Source organism: Homo sapiens, chromosome 1 (assembly GCF_000001405.40).
Source record: "Homo sapiens chromosome 1, GRCh38.p14 Primary Assembly".
In the NCBI taxonomy this organism is placed as follows: domain Eukaryota; kingdom Metazoa; phylum Chordata; class Mammalia; order Primates; family Hominidae; genus Homo; species Homo sapiens.
Window position 1 is genome coordinate 174218131 of NC_000001.11, and position 14045 is coordinate 174232175.

Genomic DNA, 14045 nt, shown 5'->3' on the forward strand with positions numbered 1-14045 from the left:
CAGGTTTAGGCTCAGATATTTTCCTCTCAGAGAGCTTTTTCCTACCACCTTAATTTGTCCGTATACTTCCCATAGCTACTGTTTGTCACATTAACGTGTTTATTGTTTGCATAGCCTTTAGAGTGACTTGGAATCACCATTTGCTCCCTTTTTATTTGTTTTCTTACTAGTATGTAAGCCCCAGAAGTGCAGGCTACTTGTTTTCCTTATTCACTTAGGTAACCTCAGGGCTGAGTTGTGTCTGTTATATAGTGTATGTCTGCAGTTAAACTTAGTTGTGTGAGTACATGAACTTCTGGATATGATAGTGAGTGTTGTTTCTATGCTGTAGAGATCTATCCAGAAAACAGAATTACACTGTGTTTGATTACTGAAACATTATTTGCTACGTGAAGGCAATATAGAAGCTTTTTTCTTTTTCTTTTTGGTGTTAATAAGTGATAATGTGTCAGGAAAGAGAAGCTATATGTCTTAGGATGTTGAATTCTGTATTAGTCAACTTTAGTTACTCAGAAAAAATATTTGCAGGTACAATATTCGGTCTTGAGGAGATAAGTTTTTTTTTGAAGCATTTAGATTTAATTAATATAGCAGTGTCAGTGAATATGGTTTTGTGTCTGTGTGTGCATTTGTAGGTATTTCTAGTATCATTTAATTATTTCCTCTATTAAAAAGAAAACAGTATTTCTAAGAGAAATGAGAGTGAGTGTGTCAGGTAAACAGTGATAAATCTGGTTGAGATATGGACTGGTTTGTGTAAATTTTTAGGTAACAATATGGCTCTATTAGTCTGGAAACTTAGGATGAAGAGAGAGTACATTTCCATTAAGTGGCTCAGTCCAAGAAGGTAGCCTCCCTAACTTTGAGATAATTATCTAGCCAGCAGGATTCTTCTTCACATAAACCATTTTTAAAGCTTTATTAGTTCATGTTTTTAATTAGTTCATGTTTTTAATCAGTAGGTTTTTTTTTTTAATCCCTTTTGTTTTTCCAGGTGGTTGTGGGAAGAGAAGTTTGCAGAACTGAAATGGAGGTCAGAGCTTCATTACAGAAGGTTAGTGGATCATCTGATTCTGTGGCTACAATGAACAGTGAAGAATTTGTTTTGGTTCCTCAGTATGCAGATGATAATTCTACAAAACATGAAGAAAAACCTCAACTGAAGGTATTTTTTTCTTTTCTACATATGGTATAATTTTTAATTAAAAACTATTTGAAACTTAGGAGATGTGTAAAATGCAAAGGTTTTTCTCAAGTGCTGACTTTCAAAATAAAATCAATGTTTGATTTATCCAGACCCTAATTATTTGGTTTGTGTATTTTAAAAAGTTCTTGCTTTTGGTTGTTTACCTTTTGATTTGGAATTTTAGGGGGAAGAATAAAAGAAGAAAAAGAAGAGAAAGGATTTTTTGGTGAATTAGACATAATGGTTAAATTTTACATTACTTTATCTGGATGTTTTTGTTTCTCTTACTGCTGGGTTTTAGAAGTTAATTAAATGTTTTGCTTTCACTTGAGAGACTTTTTTCTTTATGATTTTTATGTTTTAAATCAGCTGGTAACGTTCCGTTGTGTGATTTAACAGTCGACTTGTCTAAATGTTTTTAAAGCATATCTTATATTTTTAGCATTTGAGTTTTTATTTAGATATGGTCCCTTTTTCACTTCTGTGTTGCACTTTCTAAGTCAAAGAAAAGGAAGCAAGTAAACTCAGTTATATAGGCTTGAAAATGGTATAACTGTCTTCTAGAAACAGGAATAGGAAAAGTAGTTAAAAGTGCTATATATTACTTATGACTTTTATTTAGTATTAACTATGGCATCAAAAGTGTATTAATATATCAGTCTAATAAAATATATTCTGAAAATGAGATTACTAAATGTTTATGTTGAGAATATATTGTTTTATAATTTTATTTAAATAATCAGTGGCTTTATTTTTAGATACCTGTATTTTAGCATTATTGTGTTTAAGACATCACTTATTTGCTTAGGCTTTGTGTTTCACCTGCCTTTGAGAAAACTATGAGTCAACTTAAGTGTAAGGAAATTAGCAATATTCATCTTGGGAGCTAGCCAACAATTTGTAAAGAAATCAGAAATATGGTTATGCTGTGCTAACAAGAAATATAACCTTTTAAATGATATTCATAATAGACCCGATTTAAATTTACCTATTTTTTCCTTTAGACATGTAAATTTAAGGTTATCTGATTTTTAGGGTGTGTTCCTAAAAAAGAAAAAGAAAAAGAAGGGCCAGGCGTGGTGGCTCATAGCCTGTACTCCCAGCACTTTGGGAGGCCAAGGTGGGCAGATTGCTTGAGGTAAGGAGCTCAAGACCAGCCTGGCCAATGTGGGGAAATCCCGTCTCTACAAAAAATACAAAAATTAGCTGGGTGTGGTCGTGCACGCCTGTAGTCCCATCTACTTGAGAGGCTGAGGCATGAGAATCGCTTGAACCCAGGAGGCGAAGTTTGCAATAAGCTGAGATTGCACCGCTGCATTCCAGCCTGGGTGACAGAGTGAGACTCTGTCTTTAAAAAGAAAGGGGAAAAAAAGATAAATACATCTCTGTAAATAGGATCTTATATAAAATGTAGTTGGAAACTGTCTTAAGTGTTTTATAAAGAATCCTTTTGTGAAACTAATAATCTTCCTCTAATTTAGTTTTATAACCAGGATTTTAATGTATTATATATGTGAAACAACTTCTTAGTATTTTAGTAACTATATTTAAATATTTAGATTGTTTTAATTTCTTCTAGAAATGAAATACTTTCATAAAATTTAGCTTCAGAACTATGGTAGAATTGAAACAGAATTGTCTTGCTGTGTCTGTAGATAGTTTCTAATGGTGATGAACAATTGGAAAAAGCCATGGAAGAGATTTTGAGAGATTCCGAGAAAAGGCCAAGCAGTCTTCTTGTTGATTGTCAAAGTTCCAGTGAGATTTCAGACCATTCGTTTGGAGATATTCCAGCCAGCCAAACAAATAAGCCATCTCTTCAGTTAATTTTGGATCCGTCTAACACAGGTACTGTATTGAATTCTTAGAAACTATTAAAGAAATGGGATAAAGTAATAGTGAAAATTTTAAGATGAAAATCAGAAAAAATTGTTAGCTCTTCTCAAGCTTTCAGTTCTTGTTGAGAGTTTCCACTTCGGTGTTATGTTTCTGCCTATATCTCTGCCTATAAAAATCAGGTCTTAATGTTCTTTGGGAACAAAGACTATGTCTGGGTCCTCATTTTACCCCTAGTACTTCATGCATGGTAGGTCCTCAACAGATACTTACTGAACAAATGAGTAAATACTTGGGTGTCACAGAATAGTGTAATGGAGATAGTCTTTCATGTGATGTGCCTTTTTGCTCAGTTTCACTACACTTATTTAAAGTTATATTTAGTAAAAACTCTAAGTAAAACATATCAATTCCAACAGTGTATTAAATAATAAATACATCTATGAATAATTAGGATTTGTACTTTGAATACTAGCTTATAAGTCAAGATGCTTTTGGGTGCAAAAATAAATAAAACCAAAACCAGCTCCAACTTCAGCTGGCTTAAACACCACAGGTATAATTTGATCTAGGCTCTGATGGTGTTTTTTTGGTAACTACTCAGCTCTGATCTTGTCTATGTTACCTTTCTCCTTAGCTGGTTACAAAGTAGCTACCAGCAGAAACTGGTAGGTAAGGGAAGGTGACCTGTTTGTGCCTGGTGGCAAAGAGAAAGTCTTCATTCTTTTACTGATTTTTAAAATTTCTTTGGTGACACGATCTCATTCTGTCATCCAGGCTGAAGTGCAGTGATGCTGTTCAGCCTTCTGAGTAGCTGGGTGTGTACCACCATGCCTAGCTAATTTTTTTTTTTTTTTTGTAGTGATGGGGTTTTGCCATGTTGACCAGGCCGGTCTTGAATTCCTGGCTTCAGGTGATCTGCCCACCTCAGCCTCCCAAAGTGTCGGGTTTACCAGTGCAAGCCATTGCACCCATCCCTGGCCTGTTTTACGGATTAAATAAAAGTTCTGAGTTTTACTCTGATTGGACCAGTGAAACCATTTTCTAGTAGTGAGGGAAATGACATGAACTGATAGCTGTAGGCCTGGGTTACATTCAAACCTGTAAATAAGTCACTCTGACAGAGGGGATGGGATTATCCTAATTGGCTTAGGAAACTCGTGATTCATTTCTGAACCAAATGAACCTTGGTACAGGGTAAGTATAGGTATAGCCAAACTGTTACACAATAGGGCTGTGATGCATTTATGTAGGGAATGTAATCACAGTGCCTTCCATGGCAAGGATGATTAAGCATTAGAAAAATCTTTCAGTGTGGTTTACCACATAAAGTGGTGAAGAGTGAAAAAGTATCAGTAGATAAAGAACAAGCACTGGATAAAATTTAAAATTTTACATGTATATGCACATGTAAAGTTCTTGGAAAACTTAGAAGGAAACTTGCTTAATCAAATATCTATCAAAGTCTTATGTTTTATGCTGAAATTTAAAATGCGTTACCATCAAGATATATTGAAACAGGAGCAGTTAGGGCATGATAGCTATCACCATAGCTCTTTGACGTTGTACTAAAGAATCCAGCCAATGCAAGATGACAGGAAAAAGAAATGAAGTGTGATTAGAAAAAAAGTGAAAAAATTCTCATGATTGGTAAAGTATTTAAGAAAGTGAATGGATAAGCTATTAGATTTAAAGACTTTTTGCCAGGCATGGTGGCTCATGCCTGTAATCCCAGCAATTTGGGAGGGTGAGGCGGGCAGATCACTTGAAGTCAGGAGTTTGAGACCAGCCTGGCCAACATGGCAAAACCCCGTCTCTATTAAAAATACAAAAATGGCTGGGCGGGGTGGCTCAAGCCTGTAATCCCACCACTTTGGGAGGCCAAGATGGGCAGGTCACGAGATCAGGAGTTCCAGACCAGCCTGGCTAATATAGTGAAACCCCGTCTCTACTAAAAATACAAAAATTAACTGGGTGTGGCAGCACATGCCTGTAGTCCCAGCTACTCAGGAGGCTGAGGCGAGAGAATCGCTTGAACCTGGGAGGCAGAGGTTGCAGTGAGCCAAGACTGCACCATTGCACTCCAGCCTGCGTGACAGTGAGACTCTGTCTAAAAAAAAAAAAAAAAAAAAAAAAAAAAATTAGCTGGGCAGGGTGGTGAACACTTGAAATTCCAGCTGCTCAGGAGGCTGAGACAGAAAAGTCACTTGAACCCAGGAGGTGGAGGTTGCAATGAACTGAGATCATGCCACTGCACTCCAACCTGGGCAACAGAGTGAGACTCCATCTCAAAAAAAAAAAAAAAAAAAAGATTTAACGACTTTTAGGAAGGTTAGCACCAACAGTAGAAAATAAAATTGCCATTCATAATACCAACAAAAATAATAGGTAACAAGGAAGAAACAAAAATTTATGTAAAATTTTAATAAAATTATAAAATGTTATTGAAGGAAATGAACACCTGAATGAATGGGGAGAGATGCCATGTTGATTGATAGGAGTCAACCTTGAAAAGATGTAACTTATCTCCAAATTAGTCTGTAACTTGGGTGGGAATTTCAAATTTTCAGTTATTTTTATAAACATTCTGAAATGTATCTGGACAAGTAGAGGTACACAGGTAGCTAAGAAAATTTTTAAAAAGAATATTATGTATTAAGATAGACTACAGAGTTACAGTGATTAAACCAATGTGATATTGGCTTGTTATAGAAGTGAATCACTAGAACAGGGTACCAGAAACAAACCTATGTATATAAAGGATTTCAGTATATGACAGAATTCGCTTCACATACCACTGGGGGAAATGGTAACTATGCAGTAAATAGTGTTGGGACAGTTGCATCTTTGAGTGCAATAAAATAAAATTAGGTTCCTTAGTTGTACATAAAAATTATTTTTAGTGAATCAGATATTTAAAGTGAGAAATAAGCCTGTAAGAAGAAAACAATGGAGCATATTTTTGTGATTGTCAAGGTAGGAAAAGCCAAATCACAAAAGGAAAAGATAGTTGCATATCATTATAGAAAAATTTAAGTCTGGCCTGGGCATGGTGGCTCACACCTGTAATCCCAGCACTTTGGGAGGCCAAGGTGGGTGGATTACTTGAGGTCAGGAGTTCAAGACCAGCCTGGCCAACATGGTGACACCCGGTGTCTACTAAAATACAAAAATTAGCCGGGCATGGTGGTTCATGCCTGTAATCCCAGCTGAGAATCTGGGCAGGAGAATGGCTTGAACCCAGGAGGCGGAGGTTGCAGTGAGCCAAGATTACACCACTGCACTCCAGCCTAGGCAGCAGAGTGAGACTCCATCTCAAAAAAAAATTTTAAATCTGAGTGCAAAAGACCATTTAGGTTATCTATTTCTTCTTGAGTGTACTTTGGTGTTTTCATCTTTCAAGTAATTGGTTAATTTCACCTAAGTATGGGGATAGAGTTGTTTCTCTGTTATAGAGTAATATTCTCTTATTATCCTTTTAATGTCTGCAGGATGTGTATTAATATCCTCTCATTCCTGATATTGACATGTATTACATATACATACATTGAAAAACCTACCAGTCTAATAATTTTGCTTTCAACAGCCATACGTATATTTCCTTGAGCACTTTAAAAATGCTTTTCCAGTGTCTTCTTGTCTCCATTGTTTCTGATAACAAATCTGAAGGGATTTGAATCATTGTTCTCCTATTTGTAATATGTTATTTTTCTTTGCTTTCAGTACTTTTATTTCATTGTTTTCAGCAGTTTGATTATCTGTGTGTGGTTTTCTTTGAGTTTATCTTTTTTTTTTGGATCACTGAGATTCTTGAATCTGTAAATTTATATCTTTAACCAAATTTGGGAGTTTTCACCCATTATTTCTTGGTAATTGTTTTGTTTCTACACTAATCTCTTTCTTTTCTGGGACTCAGTAGACAAAAATGGTAGACATTTCCATACCGTTCTCACAATTCCTTAGGCTCTTTTCATTGTTTTCCCTGTGTTCAAGCTCACTGACTTTTTACTTTGTTAATCTCCATTCTGCTATTGAGATCGTCTGATGAATTTTTAATTTTAGATATTGTATTTTTCTGTTTTTAAATTTACATTGTTTTTTAAAGTTTTTTTGTTTCTCTGTGGATAGTTTTGATATTTTTATTCATTACAGGTGTTTTCACGTTTATTTTATGGATTATTTATGGAGCAACTGGGACATCTTGGGATTGGTCTGTGGATTATTTTTTCACTTGAGAATAGATCACCCTTTTATGTTTGTTGAGTAATTGGCTTGTTCCCAGAGTTTTCGAATCTTATGTTTTGAGACTATTTCTTGTTAAAATCCTCTGAAGAATGTTGACTTTTTTTTTTTTTTTTTTTTTAAAGCAGACATTCCACCTGGTTGTGTCCAAACTGCAAGATCTGTCTTGCTTTCTGGTTCCAAAGTATTTTCAATTCTCAAAACCTTTGCTGTGCTTCTTCAGTCTGTTCCACATGCATACACAGTTTGCTAGTTTACACGCAGAGTTAGGGGATTATCTTCTTCAGCTCTCTCCTCTCTGAGATTTCCCCACACTCTCTGGCTTCCTTGGGCCATTTTCCTTCTACCCCTGTGTTAGAAAGACAGGTTTCTTTCTTAGAGTTTTTGCTGCTTTGTGCTGTTTTGCAGAATCATATGTCTGGAGCACTTTATGACAAAGTGGTGAGAGAAAAGAGAGGGAAAAATAATAGAGTTTTTCTTTTCCATTTTTGGGTTATAGGGGCCTCTTTGCTTTGGTATTTTAGCCTTTGAGACACATTTCTTTTCCTCCAGATTGTAGATGCTTACAGTACCACCGCGACTACCAGCATTTCAGGTAGTTCTGTGGTCGGGGCTAGTGGTAGAACTGGGAGAGAAAACAAAACAGAAACAAGTCATGATTTCTCAGATACTCTCTAGTTTGCAGGGACTTCTTTTTCTGTTATTTGGCTGGAAAGATTGGATTTCTTTGTTTTGTTGCTCACTGCTATTCTGCAACTCGGACCACCCTTAGGTCAAAACTGGGAGGTGATGATGAGAAAAATGGAAAACTCACCACTGTAATAGAGGTTCAGATTTTCACTTTCCTCTCCACTCTGGCTGTTCCTATTTACTTTTTAAAAGGAGGCTGGATGTGGTGGCTCACGCCTGTAATCCCAGCGCTTTGGGAAGCCAAAGTGGGCGGATCACTTGAGCTCAGGAGTTCAAGACCAGCCTGCGCAACATAGCGAAACCCAATCTCAATAAAAAAAGAAAGAAAGAGTCCTCCGGTCGTTGCTTTTTATATTCTGTCGAAAGTTTTCAGGTATAATCTGTGGGAGAGATAACTTATAACAGTAGGAGAGATAAATTGTAACAGGCTTATCACTTCAATTTCACTGGTCCAGTTCAATAATCTTGAGTCTGTTTTTGCTTCAGCTGTTTTGAAGTTCTGCTATTAAGGGCATAGTCACTTAGAATTTTTGTGTTTTCTTAATGAATTGACCATTTTAGCCTTGTGAAATATCCGTTTTCTTTTTGTTAAAATTCCTTGTCCTGAAGTCTAGTTTTTCTTATATTAATATAGCCACTTTTGGTTTCTTATGATTAGTATTTGCATGGTATATATTTTTCTTTTTCCTTTTTTTTTAAAAAAAATTTTCATCTATTTTTATCTTTAAAGAGTGTTTCTTGTAGATACCTTTTTAAAATCCAGTTTAACAATCTCAGTCTTTTAGTTGGGTTTAGACTAGGATAAGTAAACTACTATCTGTGAGCCAAATTCCACTTCCTACTTGTTTATGGTGTGGCTTGCAAAGTAAAATGGTTTTTACATTTTTAAATGGCTCTAACATATCAAAAGGAGAATAATATTGTGACACATGAAGCTTATATGAAATTCAAATTTTAGTATCCATAATTAAGTTTTAAGTTTTGTCAAAAAATCTGTGGAAGGTTTTTTTCTCACTTGTATAAATACTTGCATAATATTGTAGATTTTGTCTCTTGGCCCACCAAACCTAAAATATTTATCATATGACCCTTTACAGAAAAAGCTGACCATTTACTTTTTTTTTTTTTTTTTTGAGATGGAGTTTCACTCTTGTTGCCTAGGCTGGAGTGCAATGGCACGATCTCAGCTCACTGCAACCTCCACCTCCTGAGTTCAAGCAATTCTCCTGCCTCAGCCTCCTGAGTAGCTGGGACTACAGGTGCATGCCACCATGCCCAGCTAATTTTTTTTTTTTTTTAGTAGAGATGGGGTTTCACCCTGTTGGCCAGGATGGTCTCCATCTCTTGACCTCATGATCTGCCTGCCTGGGCCTACCAAAGTGCTGGGATTACAGGCATGAGTCACTGCGCCCAGCTGACCATTTACCTTTGATGTAATTTTAAATATATTTGGATCTAAGTGTACTTACTCTCTTGCTGTTTTTCTCTGTCTCTTCTGTTCTTGTTTTTCCCCTCCTTTCCTGCCTTTAGATTATTTTTAATGTTCTATTTTATCTCCATTATTGGCACATTAGCTATATAATTTTGTCTTATTATTTTAGTATTTGCTCTGGAGTTTATAACTCAAGTCTTTAACTCATTTACATTCTAATAATGTCATAACACTTTATGTACATTGTAAGGATCTTTTGTTACCTTCTAGATTTTATGCTTCTGCTCTCATTCATTTTGCTAATACATATGTTAGAAGTTCTACAAAATACTGTGGTTTTTTTTTTTTTTGCTTTAGTCTGTTATATTTTGAAGAAATTAAAGAGCAAGGAATAGGTCTTTTTCTCATATTTAACTTCTCGTGCTCTTCAGTTTTCTATCATTTTCCTGTAGCCCAAGGAACTTCCTTTAACATTCCTCTTCTGCAATTTAGAAACTGCTGTTATATTCACCTGGGGAATATTTTACTGCAGATCTTGTATTTTTTCAGCTCTAGAATTTCTTTTGGTTCTTTTTTATGTCTTTCATTTTTCTTCTTATTTTGTTAGATGTTTATCTTTAAATCCTTGATCATATTTATAATAGTCGTATAGGCCTTCTTTGCCTATTTTATCATTTCTTATTTTTGGATCAGTTTCTGTACTGTTTTATATTTGGAATCTGTAGAGTCATGAATCTTGGGTTACACAGGTTTATAAAATACCTCTTCAAACAACTTCTTTTTGGCCTCCTCTTTTCTCTTTTTATTTATATTATTTTTTGTTGTTCCTCACTGGTTCACATTCATCTTATATTTTTTCTGTTTTTAAGACTCTAGTTACACATGTTAGACCACTTGAACTACGTAATCACCCAGGCTCATCAGTCTTATTGTTGCTGCATAAGTGCTTGTTACATTAAGAAAAGTATGTAAAAACATACATGTATATAATAATATAATACAAAGTAATTTAAACATATTAAAATGTATTTGTAGTTTTTTATTTATCCCTTTTGAAATACATTATATTGAACTGACTGAAAAAGGGAGAAAAACATGTTTCAGTGGTTGAAGAACATGGTAGATGAAGTAGTTCATTTTGAATGGCTTTAGTTCCTTAACAAAAAAGTCAGTGGTGAAGTTGCATATTTTAGTATAATATTTAGGAGCTGCAGTTGGGGAATTTGAAATGGCTTTTGTGAATTATTTATTAAAATCCTATCCTACAAGAGGAATCCTGGTAATGGCAGTCTGAAAATGTTGCAAGGACCTAGTTCAAGTGATACATGTATGCTTAATTTTGTGCGGCATGAATGTAGGTAACAGCGGGGAAGCCAAGCAGAATGTGGATTTTAGGTAGGGGCATGAAGGGAGAATGTTATACTACCTGATACACGGAGATGGATGCTCTCTAACCACAATTGGACCTTTGCTGCCTGCTGTTCTTAGAATAAAATGAACAGTTTTTTTTTTTTAAAGAAATTCATTATGATGGGGATGGAATTGGGCGAAGCAATCGTAGATTCATTCATCAAAAATAATTATTTTGAGGAAAAAAATTCCATTGGAATACTTATATAGTTCATTATAGTTCATAGAAGCCAGCAAGCCAGGAATGAGGGAAATAAGGAGCTTGACACTTGTTGTTGGTATGAGATGTAACATTTTAACATTGCTTGTTTTTGCTTAGGAAGTTAGGCTGCTTAATAAATGTGGTGCAGTGAAGGATCTTTACAGTCAAGATAAACTTTTAGCTGATTTACTTTTGTTTAATCCTCATTATTTTGGGGCTAATTCACAGTATCTTTAGTATAGTTTTTCCTCCTTATTGTTCTATATCACTTGTTAACCAAAAAGTGGCAGGTCTCAATCCATAGAGGTTTACTTAGTCAAGGGTTTAGTATGTGCCTGGGAAAAACAAGCCACAGGAACAGTTGTGACCTGTGCTTTTCTAGAGGGGTTTTGGGAATTTCGGTGTTTAAACGGGGAAAGGGCAAGCACAGGTTAAAAAAGAGGGAAAGGTAGGCAGTGAGGCAAATGGTTGCATTCTTGTGAGGCTCTGACTAGCCTCAATAAATCTACACTTTACATGTGAAAAGAGGGAGTAGAGGAAAAAGTCATTTGGGTTGGTTCCAAGTCTTTGCTATTGTGAATAGTGCCGCTATAAACATACATGTGCATGTGTCTTTATAGCAGCATGATTTATAATACTTTGGGTATATACCCAGTAATGGGATGGCTGGGTCAAATGGTATTTCTAGTTCTAGATCCCTGAGGAATCGCCACACTGACTTCCACAATGGTTGAACTAGTTTACAGTCCCGCCAACAGTGTAAAAGTGTTCCTATTTCTCCACATCCTCTCCAGCACCTGCTGTTTCCTGACTTTTTAATGATCACCATTCTAACTGGTGTGAGATGGTATCTCATTGTGGAACCAACCCAAATGTCCAACAATGATAGACTGGATTAAGAAAATGTGGCACATATACACCATGGAATACTATGCAGCCATAAAAATGATGAGTTCATGTCCTTTGTAGGGACATGGATGAAGCTGGAAACCATCATTCTCAGCAAACTATCGCAAGGACAAAAAACCAAACACCGCATGTTCTCACTCATAGGTGGGAATTGAACTATGAGAACACATGGACACAGGAAGGGAAACATCACACACCGGGGCATGTTGTGAGGTGGGGGGAGGGGGGAGGGATAGCATTAGGAGATATACCTAATGTTAAATGATGAGTTAATGGATGCAGCACACCAACATGGCACATATATACGTATGTAACAAACCTGCACGTTGTGCACTTGTACCCTAAAACTTAAAGTATAGTAAAAAAAAGAATAAAAAAAAAGGAAGTCAATTATGCATTCGTCTTAGTGTAGGTGAAGGGACGATTTCTGGTCTTGTCCTGTGTCTGTGAAGATAAGCTGATAATTGACATTGTGAGGATGAGATTTGACAGAACTCAGCTTTAGAGCTAGTTTATAGGGAGGATACATATCTTAAATGATTTAGGGGCTCACACGGAAATTCCTTGTGAGTAATCTGTGAGGGAAGCCATCTGGGGAGATATGTGCCCTTCTATCGTTGTGGGAACCTGGCATATGGATAAGGCTATGACACAGGGTTGTGAATTTACAGCTATCTGGGAACAAAAAGAAGGCAGTATGGTGTGACTCGGTTCCCAAGCTTATCTTTTGCTTTGGCATAGTCAGTTTGGAGACCAGAGGTTCTGTTGTTCTTTTACATACTTGTACTCTATCTTTTTGAGTTTTTTTTAATATAAAGCTTAAATTTTTTCTCTCATCTGAAGAACTTACAGCTAAGTAAGATAATATTTTGAGAGATTCAAAAGTATGAAATGGCTGGCTCTGGAACTCTGACATAAGATTTAGGATTATAAAATCCTAGAATCCTAGATTTTAAATCCTAAAATTTTAAAATATAAAAGGAGTGAAAATACAGAGAGACCTAGATTTTGTTTGAAATATTTCATTTCTTTTTGGGCATTGGCAAGATTATAATGATGGTGGAGTTTTGCAATGACTTTTGAGTGTTTCTTTTTTTGTTTCTTCAGAAATTTCTACACCCAGACCATCTTCTCCAGGTGGACTACCTGAAGAAGATAGTGTTTTATTTAATAAACTGACCTACTTAGGATGTATGAAGGTTTCTTCCCCACGTAATGAAGTAGAGGCTTTACGGGCAATGGCAACCATGAAATCTTCCAGTCAATACCCCTTTCCTGTTACCCTGTATGTACCAAATGTTCCAGAAGGTTCTGTGAGGTAAGCTCTAATTTGTTTTTCTTTAGACACATATTAAGTCTTTTGGGTGGTGGTGAAGATGTTATAGCATCATCAGGTGTAGAACTTACTGTGAACTCACACTGTAGACATGCAGAGTAAACATGTTTAGGCTTAGACTGTGTTCATTGTTTGAAAGGGGCATTTGAACAATTGTATTAGTCTATTCTTGCACTGCAATAAAGAAATATCTGAGATTGGATAATTGATAAAGAGAAGAGGTTTAACTGGCTCTTGGTTCTGCAGGGTGTATAGGAAACATGATGCTGGCCATCTGCTCAGCTTCTGGGAGGGAGGCCTCAGGAGGGGAGGCCTCAGGAAACTTAAAATCATGGCAGAAGGCAAGGGGAAGCAGAATTGTCTTACGTGGCAGGAGCAGGAGCAAGAGCGAGAAGGGGGAGGTGCCACACGCTTTTAAACAACCAGGTTTCATGAGAACAGCTATCATGAGAACAGCACCGAGGGGATGGTGCTAAACCATTCATAAGAAATTGTTCCCATGATCCAATCACCTTTCACCAGCCCCACCTCCAACATTGGAGATTACAATTTGACATGAGATTTAGACGGAGCCGCAGATCCAAACCCATATCAACAATTACGCTTAGAATATTATAAATAGAAATAAAACGGTAAAAATACTTGTAATATTTATTTCTCTATCCTGAATGAGCATAAAAATCTGCCTTCAGCTTCTGAAGTAATAGTGGTTGAAAGAAACTGGAGTGAGCCATAGATTTTAAGTTATTTACATTAGACTGGAAAGAAGCAAAATGGCTTTTTCCTCTTATGCTTAATTAGG

General features: G+C 36.1%; 1 protein-coding gene across 12 annotated transcripts in view, besides 2 other annotated features; it reads left to right on the forward strand.

Moving 5' to 3' along the window:
* The window catches only part of RABGAP1L (RAB GTPase activating protein 1 like), an 835789-nt gene that overhangs the window by 58611 nt on the left and 763133 nt on the right, over nt 1-14045 (forward strand). For 7 of the 12 annotated variants that reach the window (NR_158982.1, NR_158981.1, XM_011510223.3 and 4 more), the window contains 3 exons: nt 995-1165; nt 2842-3034; nt 13015-13225. Coding sequence is in view for 10 of the 12 variants with exons in the window: in XM_011510223.3 (XP_011508525.1) it covers nt 1028-1165; nt 2842-3034; nt 13015-13225 (542 nt within the window). In the remaining 2 variants the exon portion in view is untranslated. The remainder of the gene's footprint in view (nt 1-994; nt 1166-2841; nt 3035-13014; nt 13226-14045) is intronic. The other 5 variants (XM_047436028.1, XM_005245681.3, XM_047436039.1 and 2 more) reach the window with 1 other exon arrangement.
* Nucleotides 2355-2474: a silencer, noted in NCBI's record as "silent region_1563". NCBI's record gives its function as "represses an Ori minimal core promoter by ATAC-STARR-seq in GM12878 lymphoblastoid cells {active_cell/tissue: GM12878}" and the evidence as "EXISTENCE:reporter gene assay evidence [ECO:0000049][PMID:35858748]".
* Nucleotides 7775-7914: a silencer, noted in NCBI's record as "silent region_1564". NCBI's record gives its function as "represses an Ori minimal core promoter by ATAC-STARR-seq in GM12878 lymphoblastoid cells {active_cell/tissue: GM12878}" and the evidence as "EXISTENCE:reporter gene assay evidence [ECO:0000049][PMID:35858748]".